Source organism: Homo sapiens, chromosome 7, assembly GCF_000001405.40.
Source record: "Homo sapiens chromosome 7, GRCh38.p14 Primary Assembly".
Taxonomy (NCBI): domain Eukaryota; kingdom Metazoa; phylum Chordata; class Mammalia; order Primates; family Hominidae; genus Homo; species Homo sapiens.
This window is the reverse complement of record NC_000007.14, coordinates 95,960,265-95,979,396: the sequence shown is the minus strand read 5'-3', so window position 1 is coordinate 95,979,396 and position 19,132 is coordinate 95,960,265. Positions and strand designations below refer to the sequence as shown.

At 40.1% G+C, this 19,132-nt stretch overlaps 1 protein-coding gene across 5 annotated transcripts in view; it reads right to left on the bottom strand.

Annotated features, from left to right (window-relative positions):
• The window catches only part of DYNC1I1 (dynein cytoplasmic 1 intermediate chain 1), a 337,769-nt gene that overhangs the window by 130,926 nt on the left and 187,711 nt on the right, over window positions 1-19,132 (bottom strand). For all 5 annotated transcript variants that reach the window (NM_001278422.2, NM_004411.5, NM_001278421.2 and 2 more), the window contains one exon: window positions 1,796-1,885. In NM_001278422.2, coding sequence (NP_001265351.1) covers window positions 1,796-1,885 — 90 coding nt within the window. The remainder of the gene's footprint in view (window positions 1-1,795; window positions 1,886-19,132) is intronic.

The window sequence follows — 19,132 nt, the reverse complement described above, 5'->3', positions numbered from 1 at the left end:
TATTGTTCCATACTAGCCCTGTTGAGTTTTTTAAAAACCTGTTTGCCAGATGGGGAAACTGAGGCAAAAAAAGGTTAAACTAACTTAGTCTGTAGTGATCACTCAGCTAATAATTGACAGAGACAAGATTTTATCCCAGGTAGTGTGGCTCCAGAGGCTATGCTTTTTCATTACTATCTTGCACTGGCCTTTAGATACCTGAGATTGCAAAAAACAAACCAAAACTAAATTAAACACCTACACTCAGACACACTTCAAATGAGCCTCAATATGAAGTGATTTTTAATAATTTTCTAAAATTGTGGCTGGGCGTGGTGGTTCACGCCTATAATCCCAGCACTTTGGGAGGCTAAGGCGGGTGGATCACGAGGTCAGGAGTTCGAGACCAGCCTGGCCAGTATGGTGAAACCCCGTCTCTACTACAAATACAAAAATTAGCCAGGCATGGTGGCACACACCTGTAATCTCAGCTACTCGGGATGCTAAGGCAGGAGAATAGCTTGAACCTGGGAGGCAGAGGTTGCAGTGAGCTGAGATCACGTCGCTGCACTGCAGCCTGGGACAGAGTGAGACTCTGTCTCAAAAAAAAAAAAATTGTCCCATTTAACTCCATATGATATGGATGTCATTTGTAATAGGCATTTGGGCTTCTCTAATTTTCTCATGAGAGCACAAGGTGTTGAAGTGAGTACTTGGGATCAGTAGGTATCAATTCCTACAAAGACCCCAGTGCTGAACATCTGCCACACTGTGCCAGAGCCACAACCATCTTTAAAATTTACAGATCAAATGAGCTTCTAATCAGAGTTATATTGATCTATACTTGGGACACTCATTAGGAAATATGGAAGAACCTTTTTAATCTACACAGTTCTTAGGTCCCGCTCTTCATTTATTTGCCAGCAAGTAAGACAAGTTCAAAATTCTCTTCTGTCTCCATGGGCTGAGAATCTCAAAGTAATACAAAATTGGGTTTGTAAGGAAATGTCACCTGCAGTATTTCATGTCCCTCCTTTTCTTTTCTTTTTTCTTTCTTTCTACTTACAGGCACAGTGCTATTATGAGGAGGGCAACAGGGTAAAATGTAAACTTTGGATTTAACTCTAAATCTTGGCTCATGTACTTGTACATTATGTATCCTTGGATAAAGTTTTAGACCTCTCTCTTCCTAGTTCTCTGCCTATAAATAGGGGTAATAACAGTATCTGCTTCAAAATGATGTTGTAAGGAGTGAGTAATATCTGTGGAGTGCTTAGAAGAGAGCCAAGGGCATAGTGAGCCCTTAATAAATGTTAGTTATTATTATCACCAGAACATGTAAGAGGTTGTTCCTCCTTATACAGGCAGAGTTGCAGAAGAAAAATTTTAATAGCAGAGTTACTAGCGTTGATCACTATTAATGTTTCTATGTAGATCACATGAAAACACTTTAGAATTTATTCACAAAATAATTATATCTAGTCCTTTGCTTTACTGTTATCATTGGGAATATATGGTTCTGTGAATGAGATAACATGGCAATTGGTAACAAGTGTTCTGGAATTGTGACTAAAATTGTTACTGAAATTGTGGACGTTTTGCACTTTATTTGCCTTTATCAGTCAAGAAATAAATGACTCTTGCTTTGGAGATTACAGTTTATGTTGCTAAATGTAATGTATTGAACAATCATAGAAAATCTTCCATATAGGGGATGCAAATTCAATTTTTACTTAGCTCTATAGTCTCTTATATTAGTAAAGGCAAACAAAACAAAACAATAAAATGATTACTCAGTTTATTTTCCATATCATACCTTCCTTCACTTCCTGTTTTTTGTCCTGATTTTCCAGTTCTGAGTCCTGGCCAACTTTAGATTCCACCATTTCCTCATCTTCCTCATCCTCTAGAAAAAAGAAAGAGAAAAATACAATATTTTCTTTCCTCCAAATCAAAGTCTTTGGTTGATAGTGGGAGGTAGGGGTAAAGGGTAAAGTTCCAATCATTTAGGGCAACATCTAAGTAAATCAGTCCACAATGAATGCCCAAGATAAATGTTCATGAATTTATGAATAAATTATCTCCAAAAGGGGCCTCTTTGAAAATTTCCCCAAGCTGTTGAGAAAACCATACTGAATGGGCACCTGTACATCCAGCTCCAGGCCCTCACCACGTGGGATGTCTTGGAATTGCCTCCCTGACCTCTGAAGCTTCTTCGAAGATGGCCCAGGAACAGATTTTAAAATGTTTCCACCTGGAGCACATTTCCCACAGGGAACACCTGTTGTACAGATGACTCATTTCCAATTTAATTCTCACCAAATTAATTTGTTTTTGACCTACAGGAAAGGGTTAAATACAGGTCTGACCCCAGGTCAAATGCCATTGGCAAGTAAACAACCAAGGGAAGGGCCCCCAAAGTCAATGCCATTGGTCTGGGAGAAAACAACTCAAAATGGTATTTACACATTCAGAGCAGTTCATGCATTAATGTGAATTTAATGAGACTAACAAGTCGACTGAGTTGGCTACCCCTGCCAGATGTTACAGTGCCCTTCCTGCCCTATGCAAATGTATGCTCATTTTTCCTCTACTCTCAACTTGCCTTTCCTAGAGGCCCCTTCCATTATATAGTGTTTGAAAGCATCAGGCACAGTGTAGAAGGTTTAAGGGAGTGTCAAGGTGTCACAAGAAAATCCAAATTATAGAAAATAAAACGACATAAAAAATTAAAATTTGCTTTCAGTCTTTAAATATGGTATTGTACTCCATGTAGGTTATTGATTTCATTGGTTCAAAGAGAGTTGAAAAGAAATGACTTTGCTTCTTCCTCCACCCCATATGTTCGCTCATTCAACAAATATTTACAGACCTATAAAATCTCAAGCTCTGTAGATAGTCCCGTTTCCATCACAATAAATCCTGAGATTTATCAACTCAAAATTTCAGCACCAATCACTTAGAATACATTATAAATGCACACTTAAATGCTCAAATAAATAAGTAACTTACAAAATTCTAAGTAAGCAACTTACAGAATTCTAACTAATATTAAGCAAGTGATTTGTGGTAGGAATATCAATTTTAAAAATACAGATATGTAAAATATAGCATTGCAATTTAGATATTAGAATTTTGAAAACATGAATTTTAATTGAAATATCATACTCTATAGGCATGCAGGTAGACTGTGGAGCCAAGCTCACTACTTTATAACCACATTATACATATATAAGAAAGGATGTAAAACATTTTAAAGAACTGACATTTATTATTCACACAAACCTGAGGTCACAGTTATGAGATGAAAAGTCGCACCTAAAATTTTGAAAAGAACACTGTTACCTAGACTTTTAAACAAATAAATCTTTTAAAAGTTAAGTTATAAATAGCATATCTATGTCCTTATCCGTATGTGAACATATTAATGCTATCTCTTCACACACACACACAAAATTCCATTTGGAAAGTCCTAATCAAAATATCCATCTCGACATGACGTATCTTCCTGACCCAAGGACTAAACACAAAGTCTAGTGAAGAACTAGCTAGAGAGAAGTTTCCTCTTTCAGTAATCCTTGGATGAAGAGGCAGTTTTCAAAAGGCCTCTCAGCTGTTGGTAAGTGGCTTTATTTCTGAACCTTCTGGAGACATTTCTTTAACAGATTCAGCAGCCATGCCCTGCCACTTATTAAGTACAGGGCAAATACAACAAAAAACAAAGGTGATAAGGCCAGAACTATGGGTTGAACTGTGTCCCCAAAATTCATATGTTGAAGTAATAAACCCCAGTACCTCAGAATGTGGCCTTATTTGAAAATAGGGTCACTGCAGATATAATTAGTTCAAATGAGGTTATAATGGAGTAGGGCACCTAATCCAACATGACTGGTGCCATTATAAAAAGGGGAAATTGGATGCAGACACACAAACATAGGAAGAACACCATGTGGAGATGAAGGCAAAGATCGGCCTGATGCTTTTACAAGCCAAGGAACACCAAAGAGTGCCAGAAAACCACCGGAAGTTAGGAGAACAGATTCTTCCTCACAGTCCTCAGAAGGAACCAAGCCCACAGACTTCTTGATCTCAGATCCTAGCCTCCAGAACTGTGAGGCATTACATTTCTGTTGTTTAAACAGCCAGTTTGTGGTATTTTGTTATAGCAAAACTTGAAAACTAATAAAGCCAGTAAGTGCATTTCCTTCTACAATCTTACAATTTAGTAGAAGGGATACAGGAGATATTCACTAACACTTAAGGCAGTGATGAGTGCATCACTTGTATAATCTAATTTATTTATCAGAACTTAGTACCATTAGCCCAGTTTTACAGATGAGAAGACAGAATAATTTCCCCCGAAGGAACTGCAACCACATCCCGCTTCAAGTTCTGTCTGGCTCTGCCTGTTTTGGGGTCTGTGATCTTTAACCACTATGCAAACTGCCTCCTGAACCACAGCATGATGTGAAATAGAAATGCCATGGAGAAAGGACTGAAATACAAGCAGCTGCAATGTTCTATTGCAAGGTAAGGAGGCTTTGCAGGGACTTTTTGAGGTGGACTTGCATGGCCTCAACATGGATTGTTCTTCCACACTCAGGAGGTGAACAAATACAAGTTGTAGCTGAGAAGGTATGCTTCTCACCCTTGAGAGCTGTACATAATGGATTATTTTATTTATCAGGTATTCTACAACCACATTCTGTTCTAATTTTCATTCTGGAATCCACTGCTTTGAGACCTGGCCGGCAATGCTTAATATGAAGTGTTAATTCCCCCAGCCAGAAAGATTCACAGCTTAGGTGAGAGCAGCACCCTAAAGGAAGTATTTGATCTTGTTCCAGGCTGGAGTCCACCACTTGCTGGCCCCTGGGTTTTATCCAATTCATAGGAACTCTCTGAGCCCCCATTTCTCATCTGCTGGAGTGGGATAATAATCCTTCCTTAAAACACGTTGTTGTAAGAATAACTAAGTAAAATAACCAATACAAAATTGCTTTTTAAACCATCAAGGTCATTGGGAACATACTTAAGCATAAATCTTCAAAACAAACATTGCCTTAGAGTCTAACAAATATTGACTGAGCACTTACTATGTGCCAGGTGCTGGGCACACACCAGGGAACAAGACAGACAAAATAATCTCTGTGCTCATGGAGCTTCCATTCCAGTGGAGAGAAACCAAAAACAAATAAAAAAACAAAATATATACTGTGTCAGACAAATGCTATGGGGGAAAATACAAAATAGGAAAGAGAGATTAGGCATTCTGGTCAAGAGTGGGAGAGTCTCAATTTAAAACAGAGTGAAAAGGTCCACCAAGGCCACAATGAGGTGACATGTGAGCAAAAACTTAATGGAGTTAAGGGAGTGAGTTGTGTGAAGACCTTGGAGGAAATAAGACTAATAACAAATAGATTCTTGCTTCTCAATCCATGGACGTGAGGGGAGTAATGGATCAAGGTCTGGATTCACTGATAATTAGTTATACTGACTATAGATAATAATTGTGCATTTATTAGAGCCATCTAGTTTGAGCACTTAAATCTTCTAGTTCTTAAAACTGAAAGTAGTTTTACCAAATGACTTTGAATTAGTCAGCTTAAATAGTAACAAGTTCTCATCTTTCACAGCTATAAGGGTGTTTATTTTAAACATTAATTCTCAGAAGAGTCAAAAAAGAAACACCATGACCAAAAATGCCACTACGAGCTTATTGGAAAAATATTATTCTGTGAAGGGCTTGGCTATAAAAAGGACTAGGTTTGTGATACAATGTCTAGGTTTATGCATAGAAGCATGTGAGGAAATAGCAGGTTATCTAATTCCTTGAATGGAAAATGCTTCCCCAGAGAATATGTTTTTGATCGGTCTAAAAAAACACTCACAACAAATATGTATTGTGTTTATAGTATGTACAAAGTCCCATAATGAGAAACTGTGAAAAACAGAGAAATTTAAAAAATAGTACCTGCCCTTTTAAAGTGTCTACAAACCAGTTGTAGGTATTAATTTTTAGTGGTCACAGAATTCTTTGTCTATCAGCCTTTTAAAGACATAAAGTAAGTGTTTTGGTGGATTTGCAAAGGAAATAAAACACAAGAGACTGGTTTGTTTCTCTGCATACTGATATGTTTGCCTTGCTCAGCAAAGAGAGTATATTTTTCTTTAAAACTCTGGTTTCCTTTCTGGTGCAGTTGGAATTACTTCTGTTGAAACCATTTTCAAAACAGTTAAATAACTTTAAAGAAAAGGATTTATGTAGACCTGCTACAGACTACTGATATATGAGTTGTGCCACTACTTCATACCCAGTTACGTTTCCTTTGAGATTGGAGGGAATAAAATTACCACCCATGTATGGCTTCCCTTATCCAGGTCCACACAAGAAATTAAACTAGTGGCAGAAGTTAATTACCTGTCAATCCAAGGGGCTAATTTCTAAACAATGGCATCTTTTAGATACATTATTTTATTTAATACCCATATTCTGCTGTCTCCAGTTGCCACATTCATTCCTCCTGGTTGGAAAAATCTTTGGTAACCACTGTCTTCCTCCCTTAAGATTTTCAGAGGTCTAAGAATGAGTAACTACATATTATGCAGCAATCACAGATAACACACTCAGCACGAGGCTCGACCCTTTGCCTGAGCTCCAGAAGAGTTCGTTTCCTCCACTAGTCCATGGCTCTGAATGAAGCCGACGTAGACAGTTTTAGTATGCAGCAGTCCTCTGCTCGCTGACTTGTTTTGATAGCCTTACAAATGTGAGGTATTTGAAGGGGAGTGCAGTGGAACATTTGTCAGTGTTTGGCAATACAGTATAATGCAAAACCCCTTTCTGTCTGGGGCATATTCCCTTTGCAGCAATCCGGATTGGTGATATGCTGGATCCTACTTTCCTCTCTCGAAGCCCAGGGGGAAAGAGTTTCCTGCTGTTCATCTCCTGGTGGCCAGGGCACAGACAGGATCTGGGGAGTCAGACTGGTCGCTCCTAACTCAGGCTTTGTCTTTGGATCCTTGGAGTCAGAGCTGAGAAAAAAGTTAGGATTCATTTTGGAGGAAAACGCAGTAGCAGCAGTGACGCCCAACATCCTGGCAAGATTGTTCCAGAGGCCCAGTGTTCCAGAGCTCCCTCGGTCCCCACGCTTTTTCAAACCTGTTCCTTCTGCCTCCTGTTGATTCTGTGAGTACCAGATTTCCTTCCAATAAATCCCACTAGAGGCGTTGTCAGCACCAGATTTCCTTCCAGTAAGTCCCACCAGAGATGATGCCTGCTGCATGCAACCAGAACCCTCAACGACACAAGGCGACCCTCTGTGAAGAGAGGGGTTTGTGTTTTACGAGTCCACTGGGTTCTTGCTTTCCTCAGCCCTCTTAGGGCTTGCAAAACTTTGGGATAAGAGGATCTGAGCTCCTGCCAGAGCCCTTGATGCTCTGCTCCTGACATTTCATGAGAGGACTGTGGCTCCTCCATCTGCCACCTCAGGAAGACCGCTAAGGCTGGCTCGGGTGGAGAGTGAAGGCAGGGAGTGGACAGGACCATTTCACTCCATCCTTCTCAGCTCCAAAGGGCATCCTCCTGCTGCCCATAGCAGAAGGCACAAAGCAATTACCACTTTGACTTTGAATTGAATGGGCCAATGACTGCAAGATGCACAATTATTTTATATACCACTGAGAAAGACGATTACTGCTATTAAACTATAACACATCATCAATTTTAATGTGAAAATTGTGAATGTTAGAAATGATCAAATACGTTGTGGCTTATGAAATGAATAGAAACAAGCTTCCAAGATGTAAACTGGCAAGGACACAGAGGCAATTCTAAATCAAGCTTACTAGTATACTATTATTGGAGAATAGACTTGGAGAGATATAAAGACCTGAGTTTTTCTGTTTTGTTTTGTTTGTTTGTTTTTTTGGATATGTTCTTTTCAACTTAAGAACAAATGCCCTGGCCACTTTTATATAATTCCATGTATGGATATTCAGATGGTGATTCTTCTTATAACATATTTTTAAATTTTTAATAGAAAAAGGCTTAACCCCTTCAAGTTCTATTAAAGTTTTAAAAAATATATTGGAAGATATTCTTTGCAGTTCTGGCTTTGGTTTCATCTTTTTGCGTAATGCCTTTTGTCTCATTTTATCTTTTCTAATATTATATGCTCACTCTGGTTAGCTCTTACACCTGTATCTTCCACTATCACCTATAAGTTGATTTCTCCAGCCAAGATATCCCTTCTAGGTTCCAGACTCTGTAGTGGACATTACAACGTGATCATCTCAGGGGCACCTCACACCTGACATGTCCACAGCAGAGCTCTGACCTGCTTAATGGTGCCACTGTTCATATGGAATCCCAGCTGGATACCTGAGCACTGCCCTCAATTCCCCTTTTCCATCAGGGACTAGTAAGAGGGGGGTCTCAGTCCTGTCAATTCCACCTCCAGCATCTGTCTTGAATCTGCCTGTCTTTACAGCCTTTATGATGCAACTCCAGCAGCTTTAACTCTTCCTCTGAAACAGATTTGTGAATCCCCTCCATTATTCTGCCACCCACCTTGTAAATATCTCTACAATAACACATCTCATACCGTGTAAAATTAGTTTTTTGCATCTATCTCTACAACCAGAGTAAATGTCCCTCAAAGACCTACTCTTCTTAATATTATCAACGTTAAGTACAGAGACTGGTAATATGAAAACAGGAGACTGTTCTGGAAATTACTAATGGTACTACATCACGTAGGGCCTTGAATGGCAGAACAAGAAGTGTGGACTTCTTCCTAGAGATCAGTAGCCCACTTTAAATAAATATTAATCACATTCAGTCCATAAATATTATTAACAATTTCAAAAGAAATCCAAGGCACTGCTGATGCTAGATATGGCTTTTAAAGCCACACTTCTCTCTTCCCCAGCACACCCTTTGTGCAGATTCGGATATATCTCTCTGGGGATGGCTTGACCCTCAATGAAAATCACTGCTGTCAATCTACCCTGCAGAGAAACTGGAGGTTTTAAAAAACACAAGAGTCAAATTCTGATTTTGTTTAAGGATATGGCAGCAACGTGGAGGCTGCAGGAGGGTGGCAAGACTAAAGCCAGGGCACAGTAAGAAGGTAGGCCATAGCCATAGTCCAAGCAGCAGTTGAGAACCTGACTTTGGTCGGCGCAGTTGCCAGCGGGTGTGATGAATCAGACTGTGAATTTAGACATGTATTTGTATAGCAGACAGTGAGGGCTCTCGCACATAACTCACTCAAGCCACCCTATCCTTGGACCAACTTTGGATACAGCTTGCCAACTTCGCCGGGAGTCCAGAGAGAGCCACCCTCCCAATATGTATCACAGCAGCCAAGATAAAGTATAACATGCACCACTGAATGCTTACACAAACCAAGGTGAGCGCCTCTACGCTTTAAAAATATGCAGGAAAGACATATTTTGTGGGATTTTCAGTAAGCACTTTGTTAAATATACTACATGCTAATATTGAAAAAACCTTCACTTTCTGGTCTAGAAACATCTGGCCAGAGTAAAGAAAACATACATTTCTCATCGTACAGAGCACTCCTGTTAACACTCTAGGCCACATCAGATCTCTCCTAAGGCTCTAACATGACAGTACTTGGAAAGTTTACTTCCTGAAGGAATGTCACCCAAGGCATTGCAAATGGGAGGAAATGAAAGAAAATATTCAAAATGAGAGGGGAAGTCAGAGAATAGTACTGTTTAAGCAGCTGTTTCTGAAACTTGTAAGAGCACTGATATGTAATATATGCATAGTAAATATGTATTGAATTGAGTTGATGTGGATCAGTCAGCTTGCATGGAAGGACAGAGATGAGGAAGAGAACAAGGACCTTCTCAGAGATACTCAGGTGGGAGTCTGTGGATACCTTCAGCAGTTTGATGTTTGGAGACAAGGAGGCTTGACTGATCGGTGTTTCCATGCATTTTTCTTCCTAAAAACCTTTAATGGCTCCCTATTTCCTAGATTAGCTCAGCATTTAAGACCCACTACCATCTGACCCTAACTTAATTCTCCAGTATTGCTCAGAGCAGAGCAGCCTTTGACTCAATTGTGTGTAAAATAGGCCAAGTTTGTTGTCAGAACCCACCCCTCCACCATCTTCCTTATCTTCAGTCTTAGATCTTTCAGGCCCTTGTTATCCAAGATTTCTCAGAAAGTCATGGATTCTTTAGCCACTGAAGAGAATAGTTGGATGAACTAACTCAAACTGATAGACTACATAATGATAATCCAAATAAATTAACCTGTAATGGCAAATTGCAGATTTTATGGGATGTGGGAAGGTGAGATACTTTGAAAGAGCACAGCCACTTCTCAAGTTAGTTCTCTTCTCTACATTCTCGTAAGCAGGGCCATCCCATTGCACAACTCCAGAAAGCAGCATTGCCATTATGGCCTATGTGAATAGAGCCTCCTTGAGGCGTGTAAGACACAGCCTTTATGGCCATCCTTGGCAGCCCTATATGTGTAGCTGTCCACATATGCATGCACATGCCTACACACACACACACACACACACACACACACACACACACACACACACAGAGCAAAAAATTCAGAACAATTGAAGATGCAATTCTTGGCTGCTTGGAAAATAAGGAGGGACTCCTCTGTTTTTCAGACTCAAATCCCTTCTGCTATCTACTTCCGCTTTTAGACAATTCCATTCTCTATTCTTCTGCTTTCTCTATTAAGTCTTCCCAATGTGCAAATCTGCAGTTTCCTTTGGTGGGAACCTTGCTTGTGAAAAAGAAAATCAGAGTCACAGAGATAGAGATGTCATGATATTTAACTTTTAGGAGTGACTGTAGATCTGTCCCAAAGGAAGGCAGACACTCAAGGTCTTCACATACTAGAATTGTTATTGTGTTATGTTAACTAGTTTAAAAAAGAGTAAAATAAATAGAAACCATTTAGAAGCACTATTTTCGCTGTAAGGAAATTGTTCCTAAGGACAGAGTGGTACCTTCCATACCTAAGAGTCATCATCTCTGACTATTAATGTTAGAGCTGTTGTCACATCAATCACTGCATATATAGGTCATCCCACTAATATTAGTACATGTTCTCTAGCATTCCTTTTATTAACAGGATCAAATATTGTTAATTCTATCTCTTTGTATACCCTTCTTTTGCACATCTCCCTTTATTCTCTCCATTTCCCACCTCCTTTTTTTTTTTCGGTTAAGGCCACCTTGGCTTTTTATGCAGCACCTGGTCATTGTTCCCTACCTCTAACCTCTTTCCACGCCTACTCTTGCTACAAACAACACTGTCTGATCAATCCTCTTCAAACAACTTGTTCATATCAATTTCCTGGTGGAAACATTTGATAGTTTCTATGACATGCAGACTAAAAGCTGAGTTCCTTGGCCTAGTCTTCAAGTCCTCTAAGGTCTGGCCCCAATATGTGCTTCCTGTTTAAATGTCCTCTACTGTGTTCACCCCCGCACAAGCATGCACATACACACATGCATACTCCAGTCTGCCTGCACTAACACAGTATCTGCTGCACACAGTTCCACATTCCATCTGTACCTTGGTTCATGCTTCCCCTCAGTCAGACTCCCTTCTTCTTTTCCTGTTACAAAATATGAGCACCTACTATGTGCTGGGTATATTCTACGTATTGGAGATGCAGCAGTGAACAAAACAGGTAAAAATTCCTGCCCTCATGGAGCTGGCATTCTAGCAGCAAGATGGAGAATAAACAAGATAAACAGTTGAAGTATATGGCAGGTTAGAGAGCTGCAATCACTAACAACAAAAACACAGTAGTAGGTGTCACAATTTTACACAGAGAGCAAGGGAGGTCCTTACTGAGAGGTGGCATTTGGCAATACACTCAAGGAAGTGAGGGATCAGGTCTTATGGACCCCTGTGGGAGAGCAACCTAGGCAAAGGAAACAAAAGCACAAGGGTAAGAGTGCACCTGGAGTGTCCAAGGCCTCCAATACTTTCTGATCTTCCCTACATGTAAATCCAGCTACACTGATGACCTGATTCTAAGAACCCCCCAGTTCCCCAAATTGTTCCTGCTCTACCTGTTGGCGGGATTTCTTCTTCCTTTAACCTCTCATAGCACTTCAGTTGGGTATTTCCTACAACCTTTTGTTCATCCAATCAAAGAACTATTATGTTTAAGATTATGGCATTTATCATTCTCTAGCTATGATATATAAATTGTAAGTAGAACATAATTCTGTATATTTATGAGTTTTTTCCTCCCAAATTCTTGGGAGTAGGCTCCATTAATTATTCATATCTGTATGCCCCAATGTGGGTGTCTAGTAAATATTTTTACTGTTTTAAATTTTAATAATTTCTAATTTCCCCAGTAGTTCTAAAAAGGACGTTTTCTCAGTGGTTTCCCCAATGTTTCAGTTGGATCATGAATCTCCTCACTCAGCATCAAAGTGTTTTCCTTTCCTTGATCACTAAGCCCCACCACCACTGACAGCAACTCTTGTCTACACTCACCCCGTGCCTCCCTGCACCCACTATGAGGTTCACGGTCCTTTCTTGTTTGTTTCCTGTCCTAGTCACCGGTCACCAGGTACTTACTGACCACATATTGTGTGGTAAGATGTATTCCAGGCACTATGGAAAAACAGTAGCTATTGATTTATTGAATCCTTCATGTCTATCAGTCTATTCACTCCTCATAATAACTCACTGAGGCAAACATGATGAGCTTTCTCTATGTATGAGAAAACCGAGGCTTTAGAAAGGGAAGATGCTTCCACTAAGGTGAATGAGCTACACGCAGCAGTAGAGTCAAGAGTCAAACCCATGTTTTTCCAACTCCCAAACCATTTCTACAGCTAAACAGTACCGAACAGTATGAAGAGAAAAGGGGAACTGTAATCTACATTTGTGGTTTTGGCCATCCAGAACCACCACCCCACTTCTTGGGATAACAGGCCCTCTATTATTCTTTGGTGGACACATTCTCCCTCTCTCCTCTAAGTAAATACTACTTAAGATTTAGAGGAAGACTTTGTATCTGAGGCAAAGATTAATGAGACTATTTTTCTTTGTACTATCAGTAAAATGACCATATACATCTACCATAAATTGGGACACTTCTGAGAGAGAATGGAGGTACAATTAATAATCAAGCTGCAATGACAGATGTGAATAAAGAGTGCCTGGGAAAACCAGACCTATGGTCATCCTGTCCATCAGTCCACCTCCTTTGGACTAGGTGACTGTCTTGGGAAATTCTGGATGTATCTCCTATTATAGAAGTAGACTCCTCTTTTCTATTGGACTGGGTGACTGTTCCAGCTAAACCAGAACACATGGTCACCCATCAGGAAAGTGAACTCCTCTCCTCTACTGGATTGGGTGTTGTATTGCTGTGGAACTGAAGCTGCCATGGCTCACCACATGGAACATGAAAAAGAAGGAATAGATAAAGCAGGGCTAAGAGATGGGATCATGATAGCAACTTGGAACCTAAATTGAGCAGTAGCTGAAGCTAGCATGACCCTAGTGCCTAGGGCCAATTTTTATTTATAAAAGCCAACAAACTTTCTTTTGGCATAAGTAATTTTGGGTTGATTCCTCAGTCACTTGCAATCAAAAATGTGTGAGTGGCCAAGAACTAACAATGACTGAGTATCTTCTTTGTTATTTTTTTCTTGATAATCCCTTTCAGCAAGCCCACCATCCTGCAAGGTATGTGGGGTTAAATACATGAGTTGCCATATTGCTCGAGTTCAAATCCTGCAAGTGCTAGCATTTTCACATTTCTACAATTTAGAAATAATCATGGGTTATTTACTTAACCCTTGCCCCTCAGTTTCCTCTGCTGTAAATAACAGAATTACTCTCCTTGGATAATGGCAATACTTTAAACACTTTATACATTTAAAACATTTTGTTATTATTGATGACAAAATTGAGGCTCAAAGAGGTTATATACGTTGCTCAGACAACTACTAAATTACAAAGGCAGATTTTTGAACTCCAGTTTTTGAAGCTCCACATTCCATTCTGTTTCAACTGTGTCCACACTGGTGCCAGACTGCCTGAACTAGGCTGTGAAGGATGAAGATATATTAATGGGTTTGGAGGTGAAAGTAAGCACGTCCAGTGGAAAGGAAAAGTTGTGGAAGTTGCAACAATATTTGGAGCACAGTTGAAAACAAAGCTGCTAGCTGTATCCTGTCAAACTGACTCCAGCTTCTTTTTCCTTGCCTATTCCAGTTTCAGTTGTCTATTATAGTTTCAACATGGCCAGTCAGCTGCTTCACAATCCATGTGTACGTGTAGCCATCCTCTCATCTACTGCATGGAGTCTTCCTTGGAGAGTTTTGTGTTCCCCAGCACAAGACCACGCCATGTGTCCAGCTCTATCTCATAATGCATGGGCTACCACTCTTTGGTTTGCTGACTCTACTTCAATCAAGCTAACTTCTTGGACATTTATTGATGTTGTCAAGAACTCACACCTCACAGCTTTTGCATTGGTATTCCCTGTACCTGGAATACTCTTTATCCAAATATTCATCTTTCTCCATGATGTCTTTAGGGTCCTTATTCAAATGTCACATCATCTGTGAGGCCTCCCCTCTTCCAACCCCAGTTAATATAGCAACATACCACCATCCATTGTGCCCTGGCACATGGCACTTGTTTTCCCTTCACCTTCACTTGTTTTTTAATTGCATAGTACTGACTACTATCTGACCTTCTACATTTATTTATGCATGTATTTATTGTCTGTTCATATTTTAGTGGTGGGAATTGAATGAGAATTCTAGACCCACTAGAATGAGAATTCCACAATAGCAAAGACTGTCTCTCTTCTTTGCCATATGCCTAGGAAAGGGCTGGGCATATGGGAGATGGCAATGAATGTTTGTTGGGTGATAACATGACTGCACAGGAGAATATCAAGGCAGCTGCTGTATCAAACTCTCCCCTCTCATCAATTCTATAGGCCAGCAGAGCAATGGCAGATTCTATGATGGAAATCAGGACATCCCCCTGCCTCATGCCCACCACCAACTTTGTCATAGATGCTTACAACCACACAGATCTGGTTCTTTGAAGTGGGAATTATCTATCTCTTTAGAATTCTTGTTCTCTAGAAAATGGAAATAAGATCTTCGGAGTGCTTTTTGCTGACTCCCATTTCACCATTTTCTCATTCTAGTGTCCAATTCCCAGCCCAGGGAGAACTGATATATTTTCCATCTGGGAATTCATCAAAATTCATCACAGTCAGATTCTCAAGGAAGATCATTAGCACATTTGTTTGCTTTTATCCTGGCATTAACAACTCTATTTGAGGCTAAATTATTTCCCCTGGTTTCAACGTCAAGTTTTCCCATTGGCTCAAATATGAAGTCTCTTGTCTGTCAGTGTAATAATTTTCTATTAATTATAAAAGAAGAAAGCTAGTAGTTTGAGAGTCTTAAGGGAAGCATTTGTCTAATCCAAGAAACTGATTTTCCAGTTACTTGGACTAAGTACAACTCTCAGTTGTGGTCAGATTTCAAAGTATCCCTTGTTTTTGCTTTCTGGTCAGTCTAGACAGACATGGTTCTTTCCTTCGTTTTTCAAGCTGTTGAAACATCAGGTTGGTCAAAAGAATCTGAATCTCTAGAGAATAAACTGAGCAGCATTTCACCAGAGAGTTCATAACTTTCTACTGACAATCCCTCCAAATAGTGAGCAATCCTCCCAACCTCAGTGGTGCTAGGAGAGATTTCACTTCAAAGGCTCAGTGTGAGTGTGAGAATGAAACTGTGGCAACAAAATAATGACCACTATTGTCCTATTCAGAATGGAAAATAGTCTAGTGGTTAGAGCATGCAGTCATGAATTTTTTGCCTGTTCTCAGTCATTTCAGTTTCATGCTGGGTGTCCTCAATCCAACCTAAATTGCCCCCTTTAACAATAATTCTTCTATTCATTATAATTGAACACATGTTCTTCAAAACGCGGTATATTGAAGGCATAGGCTAAACTTTATGATGGCCACACAAATGAATCAAGAAAAAAGCTTGAAGCCAAAGAATTTGGCATTCATGCAGGGAAACGACAAATGTATGTAAATATCTACATCAGAAGAGAGAATGCCTGGAGATGTGCTCTGAAAATTAAATAGGGGTGAGGTTAACAAGTGGTGGAGATAGGACAAGGGCAGAGGGAAGAAAGGGAAGTGGATTTTTTATGGAGTTCAATTCGAGTTGGATTTTGAAGAATGGTGGGACCTAAATAAGGACGTAGAGAGGAGAATGCAGAGTTTCATTTCAGGAAGAGAAAGAAGCATGTACAAATATATAGCAGTGCAAAGATGTAAACAGTGAATGGCAGGTAGATCAGAGAGGAAATAATGGAAGGCCTGAAATGCCAAGATAAATACCAAGTTAAATAGAGTCATTCACATTTGCTATTTGATCCACTCAACTCTGTTGAGAAGCAGCATTATAAGTCAATAGTGTTTCAACTGATGTCAAAAGAGGGTTCTAAGGATTCCTGGGTAATTAGTAGTGCCATGACCCAGGAGGATAGTTTCCCATCACACATTTTGTAGTAGGTAAATTATCTACCTATTTTTTTCCCCAGAGACAGCACAGGAAAGTATGGTCTTATTCACTACATTTTGTTATGTGGCATGTAAACAATAAGTTCTTCAGCTTCTTTAAGATCTACTTTATTACCTGTAAATGAGGGATGCTAATTTCTGTGCTCCTTACATAACAGAATTGTTGTGTGAAACAATGAGATAATGGATACAGAGCTGCTTTGTCAGGGTAAAAGGCTATAACGTGTTAGTTATTAAGGCAGGGTAATTGTGATAATAATTACTGCTTCTTGGTGTCCAGTGGCCCACCCAGCCACAAAAATGTGCAAGGTAGGAAGAAAGTTATGCAATAGGAAAGAGAAGGAAGGTATTTCAGTTAATAATAATCACAGAAACAAAGGGCTAGAAAGACCCACAGAAGCAGCTATTATTTAGTTGCAATAGGATTTGGGAATGAGGAGCATAAAGCATCTAAACATAGTTCAAACAACAAAATATGAAATAAGGTTCCAAGTTGTGTGAGACAGTCTCCTAGACCTGTTGAGACTAGAAAGAGGGTGTAAGCTATGGGTCATCAGAATGGGCAGTCAGATGGAGCTGGGCTTGCTGCAAGCATGAGCTTAGCTTTAAGGGCAGGTAAGGGTAGGATGGGCAGAGTAAAGGGCATTCCTAGCTACATCCTTTAGGTTAGATGCTCTGGTCTCCCATCACGCTTCTCTCTTTAAAGGCCAATAAACATAGTGAATAAAATTGAGTACTGAATTTTCTCTCTACTCTCAGCTCTCAGACCAATGTCTGGCCCCAAAACAGACTGCTTACTTGTGGGTTCAGCCAACCTGGGCACATCATGAAGGAGGGTGTGAAGTCAGGAGAGAGTCAGCACACATTCAAGGTCAAGGGAAGACAAACCATGTGGAGAGGGAGCAAGGGAAGGAAAGGCAGGAAGCTAGATGGAAGCATGGAAGCTAGGCTAAGGCCTTCAGTTTTGATGGCGCAGTGAGAGCAAGGAAACAACTACATTTAAAATAAGTATGCTCTGGTAGCTATATTCCCAACAGGCTACAGCTTTAGCCCTGGCCATAATGCAGTCTTCAGGTGGATGGACAGAGGAGAAAGGAAACAGAACCAGATTCGTGTTTTCTACCATATGTGCCAACCTCATCCTCTGTCCCTGGCCACTGTTTGAACCTTCAAGGTTTCAAAATATTACCTCCTACTATACAGGGAGGATTTGTATTCAACTTCTGCCATTCTATATTGTTCCCAGTGCCTTCACATAAATGCAGAATCATGAAAACAAATAGCTGAAAAAAATCCAGAGAGATGGCTATGGAAGTTATTGTCATGAGATGGAAGGATCAAGTGTGCAAACCACATAGCATGTTGTTCAGCAAATTAAATAAAAAACTAGGTAAGTGGAAATTATTATTTTCTTCTTCTTTTCTCCATCCTCCTTCTTAATTACCTTGGTTAGTTTTTTCACTGAATGGATGAGCCATTGCCATCCATGAAGTTGAAGGGCCCCTAAACTTGCACAGCCAGCTGATGGAAGAGCTCAGATTAGAAATCAGACCTGCTGACTCTCTCTCCAGTGCTCTCTCCACTACCCATGCTGTGGTAGTAATATTGTCATAGAGACCAAGAGAAGCCCCAATTCCAATGAGATTTGAAGGAGAAATATGTCTAGGCAGAGGATTACCTGACACACTCTCAGCCATCTTCACCTGTCGAGCATGCTACTACCTCATTTACTTATTCCCCTTCTAATCCAAATTTTTCTGTTTGCATGACATCATTAGATTATACAAAGTTATTAAAGCTACCCTGTGGCTTCCAGCCAAGCCACTGTGACCCATCAAATCCTCACTTCTAGAGCCCATGCTTGGCGGAGACGTTTACAAGCATAACTATGCACCATTAAAACTTGAAGATTCTTTCTTGGAAAGGCTAATTAAACCAAATCACTCAAACAGGTCTAGACGATGCTGAACAGGGTTTATTATCTGGATTGGTGCCTGCTCTGGTCCCACAGGCTTGGCTGCTTGTATTCATCTGCAAAGGAGCTTCCTTACCTGCTCTGCACGGTATCAACTATTGTCCTTTTAAGGAGGAGTCAAACTTTCTGGATCCACATTATCTGCAGCTGTGAGGCCAACCGAGTGAAAGGATATTCCATGCTGACATACTTGAAACACCTCAAGTTTCTATCACTCTTTTCCTTCTCTTTTACTCGGAAGTAGACAAATCAAGTTTGTCAACTAAGTGTTCTATACACTAGGAGGAAAACAAGAAAAAGAAGGCTGGTGGGTCTTTCTGGCCATTGCCTTCCTACACTGGTAGGTCATCCCTGTCTGTTGATGTCAGCATTCTGAAATAAAAATTGGGACATGCCATCTCCCTGCTTAAAATTCCAGCATTTGGCCGGGCGTGGTGGCTCAAGCCTGTAATCCCAGCACTTTGGGAGGCTGAGGCAGGTGGATCATTTAAGATTAGGAGTTTGAGACCAGCCTATCCAACAAGATGAAACTCCATCTCTACTAAAAATACAAAAATTAGCCAGG